The 19,718-nt window shown below is 45.8% G+C and overlaps 1 protein-coding gene and 1 pseudogene across 12 annotated transcripts in view, besides 3 other annotated features; one reads left to right on the top strand and one right to left on the bottom strand.

Annotated features, from left to right (window-relative positions):
- Positions 1-19,718, top strand: part of CAPZB (capping actin protein of muscle Z-line subunit beta) — a 146,765-nt gene that overhangs the window by 48,460 nt on the left and 78,587 nt on the right. For 11 of the 12 annotated variants that reach the window (NM_004930.5, NM_001206540.3, NM_001206541.3 and 8 more), the window contains one exon: positions 17,330-17,419. In NM_004930.5, the coding sequence (NP_004921.1) occupies positions 17,330-17,419 (90 nt within the window). Of the gene's footprint in view, positions 1-9,613; positions 9,648-17,329; positions 17,420-19,718 lie in introns of those variants that run through there. The other variant, XM_047431404.1, reaches the window with a different exon arrangement.
- Positions 5,815-6,703: an enhancer, noted in NCBI's record as "H3K27ac-H3K4me1 hESC enhancer chr1:19756871-19757759 (GRCh37/hg19 assembly coordinates)". NCBI's record gives its function as "activates a minimal SCP1, AML or CMV promoter by ChIP-STARR-seq in naive H9 embryonic stem cells {active_cell/tissue: H9 hESC(naive)}" and the evidence as "EXISTENCE:reporter gene assay evidence [ECO:0000049][PMID:30033119]".
- Positions 9,551-9,845: a silencer, noted in NCBI's record as "tiled region #10658; HepG2 Repressive DNase matched - State 5:Enh". NCBI's record gives its function as "represses a minimal TATA promoter and a strong SV40 promoter by Sharpr-MPRA in HepG2 cells {active_cell/tissue: HepG2}" and the evidence as "EXISTENCE:reporter gene assay evidence [ECO:0000049][PMID:27701403]".
- On the bottom strand, positions 12,481-12,696 carry RN7SL277P (RNA, 7SL, cytoplasmic 277, pseudogene; annotated as a pseudogene).
- Positions 17,136-17,636: an enhancer, noted in NCBI's record as "H3K4me1 hESC enhancer chr1:19745938-19746438 (GRCh37/hg19 assembly coordinates)". NCBI's record gives its function as "activates a minimal SCP1, AML or CMV promoter by ChIP-STARR-seq in naive H9 embryonic stem cells {active_cell/tissue: H9 hESC(naive)}" and the evidence as "EXISTENCE:reporter gene assay evidence [ECO:0000049][PMID:30033119]".

Here is a 19,718-nt window from a genome sequence, read left to right as displayed (position 1 = left end):
ATCATATCAGCCATCCCTGGGCGTCCACTTTGTAGAGGTATGTGCTGAAACTTGCTCAGCTTCGATCACTGAGCCTAATCCAGCCCTCCTTGGCTCAGACAACTGAACCATCCAGGCTCCACAGGTCCCAAGGTCTTCCTGGTGTCTGCAGTCCCAGCCACACTGCGGGTACACAGAGTCCAGCACTGTTTTCTGGAGGTTGGCAGAAGGCCAGCGAGGCCTTTGTTGTGAAATTGTTAGATTATATGCTTTTACTTTCTTGTTTCTTCCTCTTTTCTGTTGACTTAACATGTAGAATTTATGGAGCAGTGACTATGTCCCAGGTATGTGCCAGATGCTGAATGAGGATTACCCCCACATAATCCTTAAAATAACAGTATAATGTATGTATAGCAGTTGTCCCTCCTTAGCTATGGGGGATATACTCCAAGACCCCCATTGGATGCCTGAAACCACAGATAATATCGAACCCTATATGCTTTGCATTGAGGTGTGACAGCAAAACTAGCACAAATTTCTTTTCCTTCAAAATTTTAGATAGAAGACTCATTCTTACCATAGATCTTAGTCTCCGCATATAGTTTTTCCCTTCCTTTATTAAATTGAGAAATTGCACTTAAAGAAGCCCTTTTGTCTTCACTTCGGCATATCTGAATTGCTGGCATCACTACTCTTGTGTTTTAGGGCCATTATGAAGCAAAATAAGGGTAACTTGAACGCAAGCACTGTGACACCATGACAGTGGATCTGAGAACCGAGCTGGCTCCTGAGTGACTAACGGGTACATAGCTTGTACAGTGTGGATACGCGGGACAAAAAGATGATTCATGTCCCAGGCAGGATGGAGTGGGAAGGCATGAGATTTCATCACGCAGAACGGCGTGAAATTTAAAACTTCCAAATTGTTTGTGGAATTTTCCACTTAGTATTTTCAGACCATGGTTGACCACAGGTAACTGAAACTGCCAAAAAACAAAACTGCAGATAAGGGGTGACTACTGTGTTACTACCCTCATTTATAGATGGGGGAACTCGAGGCTCAGAAGAGTTTAGTGACTTGTCCAAGGTCACACAGCTGGGACCCGGTGGAGTCAGGATTTGAATGCAGACAATCTTGCTTTCCAACCTGTATCCTTAACTAGAGAGCGGTGCTGCCTTCCTCACTTGTGACTCAACTGTGCAAAAGTAGGTGCTAAATAACCCGCTCCTCTTCTTTTGGAGACTTTAAAACAAAGAGATGGCAGTGGTTCTTAGCACAGGTGGCCCAGCTGCTGGGCTCTGTGGAGTATTGAGTAGGCACACAGGTTCTGGGGTCAGATGCACCTGCCTTTGAACCCCAGCTCTGCCATCCATTTAAATGTGTAAGCTCACCACTCTCTCCGTACCTCAGTTTCTGCATCTGAGACTGATACTGGCACTTAACTCCTTGGTTCATTTTTAAGATTACATGAGATATTGGCATATAAAGCACTTAGAAGAATGGCTTAATAAGTTTTAGCTATTACTATTATAGCTGTGTTTTAAGCCCTAAGTCAGCGCCTGCCGTGCACTACCTGCTTAGTGAAAGTTGTTAGTAGCAGTTGGTTGTTGTGCTGTGTTTGGCAGAGCCTGCTTTAGGTGGTGGTGAGAGTCAGTAATACTGTCCAGGGCTGGGCTTAGTTCCTAGTTATCAAAAAGCTATTTTGGAACTGGAACTTGTTGCTTCCCTTTCTTTAATTCTTTTTGCTCATGGAAGGATGTTAAGCTCCTTCCTCAGCCAGCTTTCTTCTTGAGACATAACACTCAGCGTTTGATTGGGGATGGAAAGAAAGGTTTTGAGCTTGCGAAATATGTCTTGTTGGCAAGATGTTCACCAGCTCTCAGGAAACTTGTCTGTTGATGGAGGAATAATGTTTCCACTAGTAAAGATCATTTTGGCTTACCCAAAAGAACCAAAAAGGAGCGGCCTTGACTGATTTGATTTTCAGGCCCCATGTTCCGGGGCTACCCACTCTCATGCCTTTAGGGAATGTTAACTTACATAAGTGAGAGTGTGCGTGTATATGTTTAATTCCATATTATAATGAGTGTGTTTTTTTTTTTCCTTTGAGACAGAAAGGAAAAAAAAAACTTTTTGACTGACTTGATTATCAGGCCCCTTGTTCTGTGGCTACCCACTCTCCTGCCTTTTGGGTGTTTTGTCCCCCAGGCTGGAGTGCAGTGGCACAATCGTGGCTCACTGCAGCCACGACCTCCCAGGCTCAATCTGTCCTCCCACCTCAGCCTCCCAAATAGCTGGGACTACAGGCATGCCCAGTTAATTTTTGTATTTTTTGTAGAGACGGGGTTTTACCGTGTTGCCCAAGCTGGTTTGAACTCCTAGGCTCAAGTGATCCTCCCATTTCGGCCTCCCAAAGTGCTGGGGTTCCAGGCATGAGCCACTGCGTTGGCTAGAAACATTATAATCTTATGTTTTCTGAAATGAAGTTCTGTATAAGAAGATGGTGATAATACCTGTTTTGTATTTTTTTAACCCTTAAAAAAAAAAAAGGCTTACTCTGTTGGTCAGGTTGGTCTCAAACTCCTGGCCTCAAGCTGTCCTCTTGCCTCAGCTTCCCAAAGTGCTAGGATTATAGATGTGAGCCACCATGCCCAGCCAATGCCTGTTTTTGTTTTTTTTTTATTTAATTGAATATTTGTTGTTTTAGGAACTATGCTACTTTCTTTACACATATTTTGTGATATTGTTCTCAAAATAACCCTGTAAGATAGGTTTGATTATTATTGCCGCTAAACAGATGAAGGAATCGAGGCTCAGAGAGGTGAAGGAATTATTCAGACCTTAATTGCTAGGAAATGGCGAGTATGGGCTTTGAACTCTTGTCTGTCTTACTTCCAAGGTCTTTCTGCCAGCTGCAGACCTTCAAGGACTCTGTCTTTGGTCTGGAAAATCGAAGCCCAAAGGATGTCATGTTTCAGGCATCTCCCTACCCAGTGGGTCCTGACATTAATTGGAAGAGGGCAACGTTATGACAGGTCTTGGGTTAAGTTTGCAAAGGTATCATGGGTGGGTAGAGTGTTGCATTGTACATTTCTGTCACTAAAATATGTTTAAAACTTTGGTGATCTATTTAGGGGAGCCAGAGGGCCAGTTGTTGCAGAATTCTGTTGTGCTCTGCAGTGCTGGGCCCATGGTGTCAGTGTAGAGCGTGGTGCTGTAATAGAGTTACCCTTGAGCTGGATGGGGAAGGCCGACAGGGACAAATAGAGATTTGATAGAGTCTTCCATATTGAGTCACACACAGGCATCTGAAATTGGAGCCCAAGAGCCCAGGGAAGAAATAGCCCAAGTGGTTTGTTGGATCAATAAGCACTGTGTTCTTTTCCTCAAGCTTCCTTTTGGACATAAGTCAAAAAAGCAGCACCACCCCCTTCTAGATAAAATATTTGGATTGATGGAGCCTTCGTTTTTTCCAGATCCTTTAAACCTTTTTGCTTTCCCATCCAGACATGCCCGTTTGTGCTGTTTGCAGGTTGGACTGAAGCTTCTCCCCGATGTCTTTGGAAGCCATGTGCAGGGTTTTGTTGGAGTAAACCTGTGTCCAAATATTATAGATTTCATCTAGGCCATCTTATAAATCTGTTTGGTTTATGTGAATTGGCTGCTTCTGCTATGAAAAAAGGAGTTTACTTTTCTTAGCCTTCGTCAGTGAACACGTGGTCGACATTTTTCTGAATTGTTTTTTCTTTTAACTGTTATTTGGAAGACAGGAGCACCCTGCTTTACTCAGCTTCCACTTTTGTGAAAGGCTTCTTGAATTTCTCGTGCCATTGAGTGGGAAATGGACAACATGTACGGCATCCCTTGAAGACGTCTCAGGATTGCCCATAATTATGTGTCTAACTGCCAGTTGACAAAGTGCAGGGATTAGTCGCTTGTTACATGAAACCAGCCAGGATCATGTGGAGGCAGCAGCTGTAGACATCTGTGAAACATTAATGATCAGACACAAGGTGATGGCGCCTTGCAGATCTTCTCAAGGGGTCCAGGAAACCGTCAACCAGAGAAACTGTGTGGGAGAGGCTTTCTTGTTTTCGACAAATCCACCTGCCAGGGATAGTGTTTGTGAGAATACCGTCTGTAATCCACGGTGACAGATTTCAGAATTTGGTAGTAGATGACATTGTCCATAATTTGTTCATCCCGGGAGAAGAGACTCATTGCCCCTATCTGATTTTGTGAGCTTGCAAGTTGTTCCCTACAAGTCGTTAGAAATTAATTTTATTTCATTGGGAGTGTTTAACATTCTTTGGAGAATGTTTGGGCATGGGAGGGGACCTGTGTTATGTCCTTCTGTGTCATTCAGTGCTCTGGGGCAAGTCACCTAACCCTTCAGGGCCTCATTTTACTTATCTGTGAAACTGGGGTACCCAAGAGCCACCTCCTGCAGCTGTTGTGAGGCTCTCCTGAAACCCACAGGGTGCAGCGCCTGGCCCATGCCGGGCCACCCTTAGCAGTTGTTAGTTTCCTTCCCTTTTGCGTTTGAAATTGGTTTGCCTTTTGGATACCTAGTATTCTTAATAAAGATCAATTCACTTAAAAATAAAAATAAAATTATCTGGACAATATATAAGTATTCTTTTTTTCAAATTTTTTTTGAGAGAGGGTCTCACCTTATCACCCAGGCTGGAGTGCGGTGGTGCTATCTCAGCTCACTGCAAACTCGGCCACCTAGGTTCAAGTGATTCTCATACCTCAGCCTCCTGGGTAGCTAGGACTACAGGCATACACCACCACGCCTGGCTAATTTTTGTATTTTGGATGGAGATGGGGTTTTGCCATGTTCTCCAGGCTAGTCTTGAACTCCTGGCCTCAATGATCTGCCTACCTCGACCTCCCAAAGTGCTGGGATTACAAATGTGAGCCAGTGTGCCCAGTCTGGACAATATATAAATATTCTTAATACTGCCATTGTTAATGCTAATAATGTAGAATTTTATTCAAAAGAGTCAAAGCGTATTTTCTTTTTTTTTCTTTTTTTTTTTTTTTTTTTTTTTGAGACAGGATCTCATTCTGTTATGCAGACTGGGCAGCCTCAACCTCAGGTGATCTTTCCGCCCCAGCCTCCCGAGTAGCTGGGACTACAGGCATGCACCACCACACCTGGCTAATTTAAAAAGTTTTTTGTAGAGACGGGGTCTCGCTGTGTTTCCCAGGCTGGTCTTGAACTACTGGGGTCAAGTGATCTGCCTACCTCTGCCTCCCAAAGTGCTAGGATTACAGGTGTAAGCCATTGCTTGCAGCCCGAAGTAGTATTTTCTTGGATAAAATCAACTGTATTCTTTTTTTTTATTTTTTATTTTTTATTTTTTATTTTTTGAGACGGAGTCTCACTCTGTCACCCAGGCTGGTGTGCAGTGGTGCAATCTCGGCTCACTGCAAGCTCCGCCTCCTGGGTTCACGCCATTCTCCTGCCTCAGCCTCCCAAGTAGCTGGGACTACAGGCGCCCGCCACCACGCCCAGCTGATTTTTTGTATTTTTAGTAGAGACGGGGTTTCACCGTGTTAGCCAGGATGGTCTTGATCTGCTGACCTCGGCCAGATGGTCTTGATCTCCTGATCTCCACCCACCTTGGCCTCCCAAAGTGCTGGGATTACAGGCATGAGCCACCGTGCCCGGCCCAAAATCAACTCTATTCTTAAATTTTGACTGATGATTAAACTACAGGTTTCTTATCCGAAATGCTTGGGACCAGAAGCATTTTGGATTTGAGACTTCTTTGGATTCTTTTCAGATTTTGAATATTTGCAGAACTTACTGGTTGACCATTCCTAATCCGAAAGTCTGATATGCTCGTTGGAGCCTCATGTCTTCGCTCAAAAAGTTTGGGATTTGGATTTTTGGGTTAGGGCTGTTCAACCTGTATAAGCAGAAGCGCTAAACTGTGTACTAAAGAGATTTGTTTTCTGGTCATGGTTCATTTGCCATTATGTGATGTCTCATTTGTTATGGGTCAGTCCAGGCCTCAATTTTCCACCGTTTATATGGTTTCTAGGGTCCCCTTTAGTGTAACATCCCTGTTGATTCTGTGTTTTAAAGTTGGACAGGTGGAGGGGTATGCACACCCAAGAGAAAATGCTCCAGCTCACTCAGTTGGCCAGCAGAGCCAAGCACAGTGCCTGAGAAACGTGGCGGAGAGCCATCCTGAGCAATGAGTTTGTTGGTTGTCATGTGACCCAGGGTTTTTCTGTGCATCAGGTTAGCCCATTGTATATGTTGTAAAAAGCAGGCAGTGCTTGCCTTTAGGTAGAGCTGCTTGGAAGCTTCAGTGCACGGCTCAGGGATCAGCAAGCTCTCTGAGGTGCGGGTGCAGGTGCGGGTGCGGGTGGGCGGCCGCCAGCTGTGTGCTAGGAGTGACTAAAGTTGGTGGGTGCAGGGGTAAGAGATATATGCCTTAAAGGGGAAATAGAAGAGCAGCAGAATAAACCCCTGCATACTCTTCCTTGCTGGGCAGCGACTCTGCTTTGCCAATTAAAATGTGCTTGTACAGCCACCCTCCTCTGGCACTCTGGATGGCTAACTCCTTTTGGAGAATTTTTGTCATTTCGCCAGGTTCACCAGGTAAGCTTTGATCTCTGCAAAGGAACTGTTCTGTGTTCAGCAATTAGAGGTTTTGGAGTGTAAACAGTGAATTGGTTATCCAAAAAAACTACAGTGGAAGTATAGCTCCGACTCCTGAGTATGACTCATTTCGGATATTTCACTTCCTGGAGGGATGTGTAAGGGAAAGATCAACTGATGGCTGTTGTAGAGTTTGACACAGAGCCTGTGTGTAGTGTGTAGGTTGCTAAGTTTTCCTCTGGAATAAATATGCCAGGGAGAGGCGCGTGGAAATTTTCCTTGCCAGGGAGGGTGTCAGGGTAGTTTGGGGACTCTGCTAGTGCTGCCACAGTTGTCTGGTTTCGATGGCCTCAGATGGGGTTGGGAGCACCAGTAAATAGGGAGAAGGTTCAAATAGATGAGATGGTGGAAATATTTCTTGATGCTGTCCTGGGCTGGGGAAATGGAGCAGAGGGCTTCAGAAAGCAAGCTGCATGAGGGAGTTACTAGAGTGCAGGAAAACAAAGGGAAGGTGATCTTCCATGGACACATGTGGAATTCCTTCAGCTCTCACTGTCCCTGCCTCTCTTCTCCTTGTGGCTTTAGGGAAGCCATGTGCTCCGTCGTACTCAGGGCAGGGGCGGTTGTGTGGAGTGAGTGCTGTGCAAGCCTGCCCTCCTTTGTGGGTGCTTAATGACTTGGAAACTGACATAACACTCCGCCTACCTTTCTAGAGACTCCTGGCAGCCTGAATGGAAAACCTGTGTCAAGTGAGGGAAAAATCCAGGCAGAAAGGACCCTCTAGCACCTAAAAAATGTTATGTAAAAGTCCTGGCAGATAAGCCATGTGCTTTACTCTCTGGGAGAGTTCCTACCCTTTATGGAGGATGCTCTGTGGGCGGTGCCCTTATGGCCCAGACGTGGTACCTCATTCCCAGTGGCCCGTGAGGTAGACAGTACCGTCGGACCCAGGTTTTAAAGAAGACTGAGGTTCCAAGGGATGAGGTGGTGACTTGCTTATGCAGGTTGTATGGGAAAGTAGGAATTATTAGTATATCGTATCTCTGCCTTTAGAGTCTTGAACTTCTTCAAGAAAAGGAAGAAGTAATCTTCATATAGTGTCAAGGTACTTACAAACTATTTGTGGGCTGTGACTCTGGACCCCAAGTTATCAACCTGATTTATTCCTTCTCTCAGAGTTTCTTTTTTTTTTTTGTTTGAAATGAGAGCAGATTTCTAATTTTCTGGGTTCTCAACCTCATAGCAGATTAGAAGCAACATATTAGTTGAGGAAGTGTAGCTGACAGCCTGGCAGAAGAAGCAGATAAATGTAAAAAGCAGACACAGGGTGCTGTTCCAAGAGTGGCTACTCATACACTGTCCTTAGGCTAATGAGAAATGGTTTAGCTGTGTTCATTGCATTGTCCTGTGATCATTTGCATTGTGTAAAAATGTAGAGCAGGTAATACATTTTAGAGAGATTGCTGTCTTCTAGAATTTTTTTAAAAAGTTGATACCTTGATGACCTGGACAAATCACTGGGAGGACCAGTCCTCGAAAATAATGGGGTAGCTGGGATGCTGGGCGTTGAATGTAGGAGGATGGTGTAGTTCTTTCCTGCTTTTTTTTTCTGGCTGTCCTCTACCTTAGGTCACAGCTCCTTGAGGGTGAGAATCTCATCTCACTGTTCGGTTGTGTCTGCCAGTCACTTACACAGTCCCTGGATGAAAGACTCACGGGGGAGAAGGGCTCGGGGCAGAGCCAGGCCTCAAAACACGAAGAAGATCCAGGTTTAGGTGCGGATTTTGCCTCTATCTGTGCAACCTGGCAAAACTTGCGCTGGACCTCATTATGCATCGTCAAATGAAGGAGCAGGACTCAGATGAAATTGAGATGTCAGTCCAGATCTAATTTCTGTGATCCCAACAGAATTTTTTTAAAGGAGAGACTTGTTTATAAAAGAAAAAAGAGAGAGACACATAAAGCAGTTATGTTTTCACGGTAATCCAAATGACCTTAACATAGCCACTGAATTGTTCACTTTAAAATGGCTTATTTTTCTTTTTCTTTTTTTTTTTGGCAGGTGGGGGGAGGGTGTGGGACAGTCTCACTCTGTCACCCAGGCTGGAGTGCAGTGGCATGATCTCAGCTCACTGCAACCTTCGCCTTCCAGTTTCAAGTGATTCTCCTGCCTCAGCCTCCCGTGTAGCTGGGATTACAGGCATCTGCCACCACGCCCTGCTAATTTTTGTATTTTTAGTAGAGGTGGGGTTTCACCATGTTGGCCATGCTGGTCTTGAACTCCTGACCTCAAGTGATCCACCCGCCTCCACCTCCCAAAGTGCTGGGATTACAGGCGTGAGCCACTATGTCCAGCCCTAAAATGGTTACATTTTATTCCTCAGATGAGATAGGAGTTTATTTCTCATATAACAACAGGTCACCCATTCTGGCTGGTGGGTCATCCACAGAGCCAGCCTCTTCCTTCATGTTGCCCTGCCATCTCCCAGGGTTTTGTGTTTGTCTCTATGGTCAGAGTAGGACTAGAATGGTTACTTTTATGTTGCATGGTTTTTAAAAAACAAAACAAACAAAAAAACCTCAATTTAAAAAGATGACATTGACTTGGCTATGATGGTAGACAGCAGACCCCAAAAGGTTGAAGAAGGCTTGGTCCGCCAAGTGGACTTCTGTCGTGGCTGTGATTCCCTTGACAGCGAGGGTATTGGATTTTCCCATGGGAACAGAAAGTCATCCAAGGAGTATTCGTGTGTTTGTGGTTGAGGCATCTCCCTCCTGCACAGCTATTGTCACATCCCAGAGGACACTCAGGCAGTGGAGGAAGCACTTTTCTTTTTATTAATCCAAAATGTGCAGTTTTCCAGAGTGACCTAAAGATGAGTGGTCGGCTGGGCCGGCCCAGGATTCCTTCTCCAAATCGCCCCCAGCACAAACTGTTCCCGGGCCACATGGCAGAAAACAGATTCGACGTTTAAACAAAGTTGCTTATTGGGTCACGGATTATACAAGACAAACCATGGTTAAGTGAGACTCCATAAATTTGTGGTAAGTCATTCTGGGCGCCAGCAGAGTTTACCTTTGTGCTGTCTATGAAGTTATTTGCTAAGCCTCTCGGGAATGTAAACGAGTGAAGGTCTTGATGAACTTAAGAACAAACTCTGAAGGCCTTGAAGCTTTGGTTGGTTGTTTATGTACAGACAGATGCTGTTAAGCACAAATCTGCCTTAACCAGCCACTACAGCAGGCCAAGCAGGACCTCTGCTTGCAAGCATTAGCAATTTGAGTTACTGCCTGTGCCTGTCTTTGAAATTAAAAACAGTGGGTTTTAAAAGCACACACAAAACGTACACACTCCGGTGAGGCTGTGGCACCATCCTCTAGCAGTTGGCCCCAGCTAGGAAACGTAGTCATCTCAGGCTCCTTGGGCTTCTTCCCATTTCCAGTAACTGACCTCGTCCTATCTGTTGTGACCTTAAAGTCTTTGGCTCTCCTCCTCTCTGGCCATCCAGCCAGAGACCTGGTTGCTGTAGAGGCTCCTCTGCTAGCTCTTCTGTCCCCAGTTTCGTCTCTGGTCAGGCTGTCTCCCCAAGGTCACCAGACAAATCCTTCTGTGTCATTTACTGTTGCTGTCTAACAAAACCATCCCGAAACCTAGTGACTTAAAGGAACAATTCATTTCATTGTCTCTGATGGTTTCTGTGGGTCAGGAGTTCAGGAGGGCCTTGGCTGGGTGGTTCTGGCTTGGGGTCTCATACTATTGCAGTCAGATAGCTGAAGCTGGAACAGTGGGAGCCTGGAGCACCTGGGGGCTCAGTGGGCCTCCCTCTGTCCATGGAGTCTCAGGAAGTCTTCTGCACAGGGTGGCCTCGGGGCAGTTGAGTGGGCTCCAGGCCTGTGTGTTTAGCAGGCAGGGAGAAGCCGCGTTGTCTCTTGTGGGCTCACAAGTCATAGGGCATCATTTGTGCTGGGCTCTGATGATAAAAAGTTACAAAAGCTCCTCCGGTTCCAAGGCGGAGGGGACACAGCCCCCCCCCGCCCCACCACAAGTGGGAGGAGTGTCACAGTCACGCTGCAAGAGGAGCATGTGGGATGGGACTGCTTGTTATGGTCATTTTTGGAAAATATAATCTGCTTCGCCTTCTAAGTCACAACAGCAGTCGTCATTCCCCTGTGGAAAAATCTCTAGGGGCTCCAAAACCTTCACAGAAAAGTGGATTTTAAAGAATGTGGCACAGATGCCTTACCTATAAACTGGACAGGAGCAAAAAACTGCGGGGAGAAGTGAGATTCTGAGCCTAGCTCCTCGGGCCAGCATAGCTGCCCCCTGAGTAGTTTGGGTGTGATCTGGCTCTTGTGACAAGGCCCCAGTCACCTCCCCAGGCCATGCCCCATGGTTCCCCACCTCCTCCTCCACGCACCTGGCTCACCTCTCCTTAGCCTGCTGCACCTGCTGCCTGGAAAGGCACACCTGCTTATCCAGGGCTAACCTGCTCCTGTGGCCCCATTCTGAGACATCTTCTGGGGCTCCCTGCCCTACTTAGTGGGCACCTGTACTCTGACATTGACATTGTTGTAGATGGTGTGTTTACTCTACCAAACTTGGAGTGTAGGTACTGGTTACATCTCACTTGATGGTTTCCAAATCAGACTTTGCCCTGGAGTTTGCCTAGTAGGCCAAGTTTTCCTGTATGCAGATGATTTCATAATACCGTCGGATGTCTGAACACTGTAGCAGATATTTAGATGGTGGGGTTTTATTTGACTGATTTCTTATTCTGAAAAATTGTTTTAGTCCGTATTAATGGTGGTTTTATTTATTGCAGGGTGATTTAAGCAATTTTATGCTTTTTCTTTAAATCATGTGAAAACAGGAGGTGAAATATTTCTTATCTCAGTTTATATACCAAAATAAGAAAATAACACAAAAAACCCCCTAAACCTACCCCTTGGAGCCTTGCCAGCTTAAAATGGGGTAACTCCCCTCCTTATTATTTGACATCCTAACAAGGACTCTTCCTTGATTTTTTTTTTCCACACTGATTTTGACTGCACCATAAGCTCCATGAGGAGCAGAGACTTTTATGTTCACCACTCAGCATCAGAAACAGTGCTTGTTACCTAGGAAACACTCACATAATGATCAGATGATTAATTGAATGGACAGAGAATTCCAGAGGATAAGGAGAAATGGTCCTTCTTTTACTATTTACCTTTCCACCTGGAACACACCATTGGGTGGTGGAACTGGTGAAGCTCATTGTATGAAGGAGGTGCCTGGACCAGTCAGAGTTTTGAAGGAGCTGGCCTGTGGAGAGCTCTTAGCCACCAGGTGACAGTTTACTTCCCCTGACTGGCCTTCTGTTTATTTTGTAGCCATGTGAGGGAGGGAAGTCCTAGGAAAATAATTGACACAAAGAAGTACAAATCAGTGTATTGTGAACTGTGCCTTGTCTCTTTGTACCTTCTCTGTCTCATCATTGTACACACCACACGACCTTGTGGTTATTTGCTGTTTTATGGACAATTGGTTCCTTGAGGCTTGGGACTGGGTCTCATTTGTTGGGCCGGATTCAGGGCCTGGCCCAGGGTTGGCACTCAGTGCACAGTTGTTGAACTGTAGCCCAGTTGCTGGCCTGCAAGCGGCCAAATCCAGGATGATGGTCTTGTTTTGAAGGGTGTGGCGGTTAGGCATGTCTGCTCTCGCAGTAGGATAGAGGGCACTCCATCTAGAAGGAGTCTTAGAGTTCATCTGGGCCAAATCCCAGGCCACGAGGTTAAGTGAGCAGTCCAAAGCACACAGACGTCTAGTGACAGGGCATACCTTGGACCCTGGACTCCTGAGTCCTAAGCCCTCTCTTTACTTGCTCTTCCTTGTATTTTTTGACCTGCTCCGTTTCTGTCCTGGGCCGGTTCACCCCTCCTTAGGCAACCTGGTGGTTCCCTGCTCCCAGGAAGTCACCATATTGATGCCAAACTTAGTGCGGACACCTGATGGGCATAGCACACTACAACCCAGAACTCCTGGGCTTGAACGATCCTCCTGCCTCAGCTTCCCGAGTAGCCGGAACTACAGGCACGCACCACCACTCCCTGCATACTTGTAGTTTTTTCTATTACCTTTAAAAAAAGTTTAGATATCTGATAATCATAACTTAAGCATCACGTTGATGATGAATACCCTTGAACCTGCCATTCCATGTGAGACCTAGACAGTATAGCTTTCATCTTCCCCTCATGGCTTCCCTAGAACTGCTCTTCTACTCTTCTTAAATGTTGTATTTATCATACCTTTGTCTTGGCTTAAAGAAAAAAAAAAGCCTTGTTATATTAGTCTAAAACACGTGTCTAAATAATAAGAGTGTTCATGGCCAGGTGCAGTGGCTCACGCCTGCAAACCCAGCACTTTGGGAGGCTGAGGCAGATGGATCGCTTGAGCTCAGGACTTTGAGACCAGCCTGGGCAACATAGCAAAACCCCATCTCTACAAAAAATAGAAAAATTGGCTGGGCATGGTGGCTCATGCCTGTAATCCCAGCACTTTGGGAGGCCGAGGTGGGCGGATCGCTTGAGGTCAAGCGTTTGAGACCATCCTGGGCAGCATGGTGAAACCCCATCTCTACCAAACTACAAAAAATTAGCCAGGCATGGTGGCCCCCCAGCTACTTGGAGGGCTGAGGTGGGAGGATGGCTTGAGCCTGGGAGGTGGAGGCTACAGTGAGCCGACATTGTGCTACTATACTCCAGCCTGGGTAACAAAGTGAGACCCTGTCTCAAGAAAAACAAAAATTAACCAGGCATGGTGGTGTGTGCCTGTAATCCAAGCTACTTAGGAGGCTGAGATGGGAGGATAGCTTGAGCCCAGGAGACAGAGGTTGCAGTGAGCTGAGCTTGTGCCACTACAGTCCAGCCTGGGCGACAGAGTGAGAGCCTATCTTTAAAAAAAAAAAAAAAAAAAAAAAAAGAATGTTCACTATTGCTTGTTATTGAGCTTTATATAAAAGTGACAGCATCCTAGGGAGGCCCCTGGGACTAGCCCCCTCCCTCTGTCCCCATCGTTCCATTTCCTGGGTCACTTACGTTGTTGCTTGTAGCTGAAGGTCATCCACATCTGCTTCATTCTCCGGTACCGTTTCCTGTTTGGACCCCTTAGGGTTTGGGATGACTCCCAAGCAAATGGCTCCAGTTAACTCTAATTTTAACGTCTTAAAAGCTGTCATTAAGCTTTCCCATGTTGCTTCACTTATGGGAAGCATTTAGTCATTTCCTCATTGAATGATAGTTAAACATCCTTAACCTTAGAAATTTGTAGTGAAACATTTCCAATTAAGATTAATTGGGATTAATGCAAAATATGAGTCAGATCCTTTTGTAGTAGTATTCTAGTGCTGTCAACTAGATACAGGTCTACAGAGGACTGTCCGGCCCCTTGCGGGGTGGGGATGTGATCAGCATATTGGAACTGGGCTTGTGAACAGGCACCGAAGAAGGGTTAAAACAGTGTCTTTCACCTTGAGCTTCTCTGGTCAACTTAGGTCTTTTCCTAGATAACACTGCTCAGTTTTCTAGTTAATCCCTTCTGTGTTCTGTCTGGATCACCGTTTCAAATTAGACAGGCTTACTTATATCTTAATTTGCTTTTCATTTATAAGGAGGATTGCTAATATCTAGTTGAGATACTTTCTGAAGACCAGAAATTTTTAGGGGTTATGTGTGGGTTTGTTGTTGTTGTTGTTGTTGTTGTTGTTGTTTTTGAGATGGAGTCTCGCTCTGTCGCCCAGGCTGGAGTGATCTGGGCTCACTGCAAGCTCTGCCTCCCGGGTTCATGCCATTCTCCTGCCTCAGCCTCCCGAGTTGCTGGAACTACAGGCGCCCGCCACCACGCCCGGCTAATTTTTTTGTATTTTTAGTAGAGACGGGGATTCACCACGTTAGCCAGGATGGTCTCAATCTCCTGACCTCATGATCCGCCCGCCTTGGCCTCCCAAAGTGTATGTGTGGTCTTTAAATTAGAATTATATATAAAACGTTTGCCTGCATGTGCAGTCTTCCTGAGGGGGACTTTATTGTCAATCAGATTCTGGGAATCTGCAGCCCCCAAACCAATTATTTTTCGCCCAGGGCTTCTCAGCCTTAACTCTATTAACGTTTGGGCCGGGTGATTCTTTGTTGTGGGGAGGCTGTGTATCGCGTTTTGGGATGTTTAGAAGCATCCCTGGCCCCTACCCATTAGATGTCAGTAGTTTCTTCTCTCCCAGTTGTGACAAAAATGTCTCCATACATTGCCAGATGTCTCCTGGCAGGGTTGTTGGAGGTGTGTGTGTATGTGTGTGCACGTGTGCAAAATCATCCCTAGTTGAGAAATACTAGTTTATACCTTTTAACGAGTTTGACTTGAATCATTTAGGGTTTTCTATTCTTGCTTGGCCAAGAGAATACGTAGCTTTGTATTGAGTTTGAACATTAGCTCTAGTTTAAGGGGAGCAAGAGAGAGAGAGAGAGATCCAGGGCTGGGTTGAGGGGCGGGGAGGTTGGGCAGGGGAATCATTTAAAATTTTTAAAAAGATTTAAAAGCTGTATGTTTATTTGTATGCACTCAATATCCCCAATCATTAAACACATACTACTGTGTATTAAATGTTCCACATGCATTACTAAATTATTGTCACTCTCTAAGGAAGATACTGTGTTCCCATTTTATGGATAAATAAATAGAGACTTCTAGAGATTAAGAAACCCACCCAAGGCCATAAGTTAATGAATGGCAGTATTGGGAATTGAATATGTCTCTCTAGAGTCGAATCAGCTTATCTGTGTGTTCTGCCCAAGACGTGGTGTTAAAATTTCCTCTCATGCCAGTGGGCCAAACCCATCACTGTGGCCTTGGCTGACACATGTTGGCATAGAAATGCGTGGCACAAGTAGGGAATTCATGGTTGCTGGCATTCAGCAAAACAAGTGGTAGAATTTCTGGTGTGGTGTTTTTCTTTTCTCTTTGCAGGGGAGCCAGTTCGTTGTGTGTTCCAGGATGAACTGTCACTGATAGCCATCTTGAGCAAGGGACAGGCTTTTTCTTTTCTTTCATTCTTTTTTAAAACAGCTGGCTGTATATGCCATGTCAATATCTTTTTTTAAAAAAATGAAATTGACTCTCCTTAATAATGTGTTATGTCTCTGGTGACTATGAAGTGGGTCCTTGCCCCACGGCCTACTTGTGGTTAACAGACCTGGAGTGTAAACGGTAATATTCAAAAGTTATATTTCGTTAAGGCCAAATGTGGCATTTTGAGGATTACTTTGTGTATTTTATGAGACTGTAGCTTGTTGATTTAGGCCTTCCAAAAATCCTGAAATTGGTCTGAGCAGAGCAGATTCCAGATACAAATCAGATAGTGGCTGCTTGGGTAGTGTTGGGGACTCCATCTGCCTTACTTGGAGTCACCTGTACTTCTAAGAGTTGCATACACAGGTCTTCACCCTTGTACCTGGCCCACCTTTCTCACTTTATTTCTTGTCTCATCTCCTGAGGTCTAGCCTTCTGTGTTAGAACCCACTGTGCATTGAATTTACTTTGCATTTTACCAGCCTTGCCTCCGCTCTGTTCCCTTCCTCTCCCCCTCCCTTTATTTATTTATTTTTTATATGTTTATGGTGACTGGCACATGGTGGCTCTGAGTAAATATTTGCAGCATATGTACTGTGAGGAGAGTATGGTGAAGCACAGGATGCATAGCTTTAAAAAGGTGCTTGGGCTGGGCACGATGGCTCATGCTTGTAATCCCGGCACTTTGGGAGGCCAAGGCAGTTCGACTGCTTGAGCCCAGGAGTTCAAGACCACCCTGGGCAATATGGCAAAACCCCATGTTCCCCCCCTCCCCCCCAAAAAAAACTACAAAATTAGCCAGGTGTGGTGGCATGCACCTGTGGTCCCAGCTACTTTGGAGGCTGAGGTGGGAGGATCACTTGAGCCTGGAAAGTGGGGGTTGTAGGGAGCCAAGATCATGCCACTACACTCCAGCCTGGGTGACACAGCAAGACCCTATCTTTAAAAAATGAAAAACATTTTTTAAAAGAGTGCTTGATAAACAAGAGTAATGGTTGTCTTTCCAGTCCTTGCCTCTGCAGTGACATAGTTTACTGCATTTGCAGTCCAGTTTGCTGGGTGGAGTGAGCTCTTGACTGTAGTGTGGTTCAGGTCTTAGTGTCCTAAGTTTCTATTGAATGAATGAAGCACTTTTAACCCCGTGTGCATCTTGCCACTTGTTCTTTGCCTGGCTTTTCTCCCTCCCTTGGAGCTTCTCAAGGAACCTGGCCTGGGGATGTTACCTGATGTTTACACCCAGGTTACAACAAAGGGCAAAAGTAATCCGCTACTGGAGTGTGTTCACCATGGAACCAACTGGGGGGCACGACATCTGCAGCCACCAGGGCCTGTTGAGCAGGAGCAGGGGAGCCGGTGAGGGAGCTTTCTGACGTCTCCAGCCTGCTTCCACTTCTTTCAGGGTCTTTTGGATGCCCCCACTTGAGACAGAGACTGCTGTCAAAGGGGAGCAAACAGCCTGCACAGTCGCCCCCCGCTCCAGGCTGCTGGCACACAGAGACCTGGCGGAGGGCCCACTGCGTGGCTCTTTGGGTTTTAGAATGCCTTGGGCAAGCATGCTTTTTAAAAGGAGTTTTTGATATTCCTTCTGGCAAAAATGACTGACGCACTTGTATTTCTCCCTCCACAGAGTGATCAGCAGCTGGACTGTGCCTTGGACCTAATGAGGCGCCTGCCTCCCCAGCAAATCGAGAAAAACCTCAGCGACCTGATCGACCTGGTACGTGCCTCCTTCATATGGTTCCATTTGAGACTGCGGCTAAGAGTTAGTTGCTTTTGTGTAGCTTTTTCCATGCAGAATTCACAACACAGGAAACCTTTTCTCTCCCTGGCAGACCATGCCACTGGACTATGAGATTCCTCCAGGCAGAGAGAAGATGGATTTCATATGGTGGTCTGTCATTCAGAACCATCTGTGTTGTTGAAGCCCAAGTTAGGAGTTCTAAAGTTAATGACAGTCTGCTCCCTCCCCAGCTGCCTTGTCTTCAGTTTCTAGAAGCTTGCATTTAGACGTGGTGAGGAAGAGGCCATACCCATCCCGCAGGCATTCAGCAGTGCACGCAGGCCAGACGCTGTCAGTCTCTGCTATGGTGTGAGTTTCTCCAGCCAACACAGTACAAGCGTCTACCTGTAAGATGCTTCCGTGGCTTCATTTCTAGTTTGAAAAGGTATAACAAGCAAAAGTTGGCTTGTTAAAGGGCCCGTCACATCTAGTTTTTAAATATTCTATTCATTTTCATAGATTTTTATGCTCAGAATGATTGGTCTCAAGATGTTGCCTCAAATTCACTAGCACCATATTATTTGAAGAGTGCTCAAAATATTCAAAAACATCTATAAAGCCATAGGAAATATTGGAAAGAAATAAAATCAGGTCCTAAGAGGCCAGCCGAATCACCCTGATCACTTGGCAGTGAGTTCTGGTGCTGGGTTTGGAACGTGAGTCCCTGAGTCTGGTCCTCTGTTTTTTCCACTGTGTCCTGTGTCTTCTTGGATGTAATTATCCATTGCCAAGCATGGCTCATCAGTGAGGTATCTTTTTAGAGTGGGTTGGGAACTTGTTCATATGCTGTAGTGATTTATTTAATTCCATTGTATGCATTCAGAACATTTTTACTAGGAAAAATATATGACTGCTAGGAGAGGCACGGATGTCATTCACAGAAAACTTTATACAGCAGCCCGAAAGGTCTGTAGTGCGACTATTTGTATATTTATAGGGATGCAAACTCCCAGCTGAGAGGCAAGTGTGTGACACAGAGCGGAGCCTGTGGAGGGAGTTGGGAACCTGCTGTATCTCATTCATAGTAATTCAGGAAGTGGGAAGAAAGAGGTTTCTTGAGGTCACTGGCTGCTCAGAGAGACAACTGCACATGCTTGTGATGTAAGCGGAGAGAAGGCAGGTATCAAAAAGAGAGGGTCCTGCCAGACAGTCGACATTTCAGGGGGGTAGTAACATAGTTGTGATGCAAATGAACCCACTGTGTGCTCAGGATCAGGGGTCCCCGGCCAGGAGCCAGCGAGTGAGGAAGATCATTGAAGTGGGCATGGTGGGATCTGGAGGCACAGGCCCCTGTGGGAAGAGCAGCTGCCCTCGTTACTCCTGGTGCTTGTTGCCCTGTTGGAAGCCTCTGTTGCTCATTTTCACATTTTTCTAGAGGAGCCATATATTTGGGGTTTTATGTAAAATTTCCTGGTTTGTTTGTGTGTGGTGGTTTTTTTTTTTTTTTTTTTTTTTTTTTTTGGTGACAGAGTCTCATTCTGTCACCCGGGCTGTAGTGCAGTGGGGTGATCTTGGTTCTCTGCAATCTCCGCCTCCCCGGTTCAAGCAATCCTCCTGCCTCAGCCTCCCCAGTAGCTGGGATTACAGGCGCCCACGACCGTGCCCAGCTAATTTTGTGTTTTCATTAGAGATGGGATTTCACCATGTTGGTCAAGCTTGTCTCAAACTCTTGACCTCAAGTGATCTGCCTGTCTCGGCCTCCCAAAGTGCTGGGATTACAGGCGTGAGCCACAGTGCCCAGCAGAATATCCTGATTTTTAAACATTGGGCTGCACGTTAGATTGGCCGGGTCCAGTTTTGTGTAGAACCTGGGCCTGAGCATGTGAAATGTGAGCTGGGGGCGGTCGGGCAGTGTGGGCTGGAGGGGTTAGAGGAGATGTCCTTTGTTGAGAAATACTGAAGTATAAAGTTGGATAGGTAGGAGGTATCCTTGAAAGTGAGGAGACCTTGGACTTGATGTGGTGAGAATGGTCACCATCAGCCCACTGACGGCTGAACTTGTATGCAGTGCCTCATGCGCAGCCATATTTAAACTCTCATCAGTCCTATGAGGTAGGACTACAGAATGTGGTCTGGGAAGTGCTTTAATGGCTTTGCATTTTTCTTGGTCAGAAATCTATGATTGATCCTACGTGGAAGAGGTGGGCAAAAGTTGAAGGTGTGATCTGCCTTTAATTTGGTCAGCTGCAGGGGCTTGTTTTTCCTCTAAACTCAGCATGAAAGCATGCTTGGCTGA

This window comes from Homo sapiens, chromosome 1, assembly GCF_000001405.40.
Source record: "Homo sapiens chromosome 1, GRCh38.p14 Primary Assembly".
Classification (NCBI taxonomy): Eukaryota; Metazoa; Chordata; class Mammalia; order Primates; family Hominidae; genus Homo; species Homo sapiens.
This window is presented reverse-complemented; position numbering and strand designations above follow the sequence as displayed.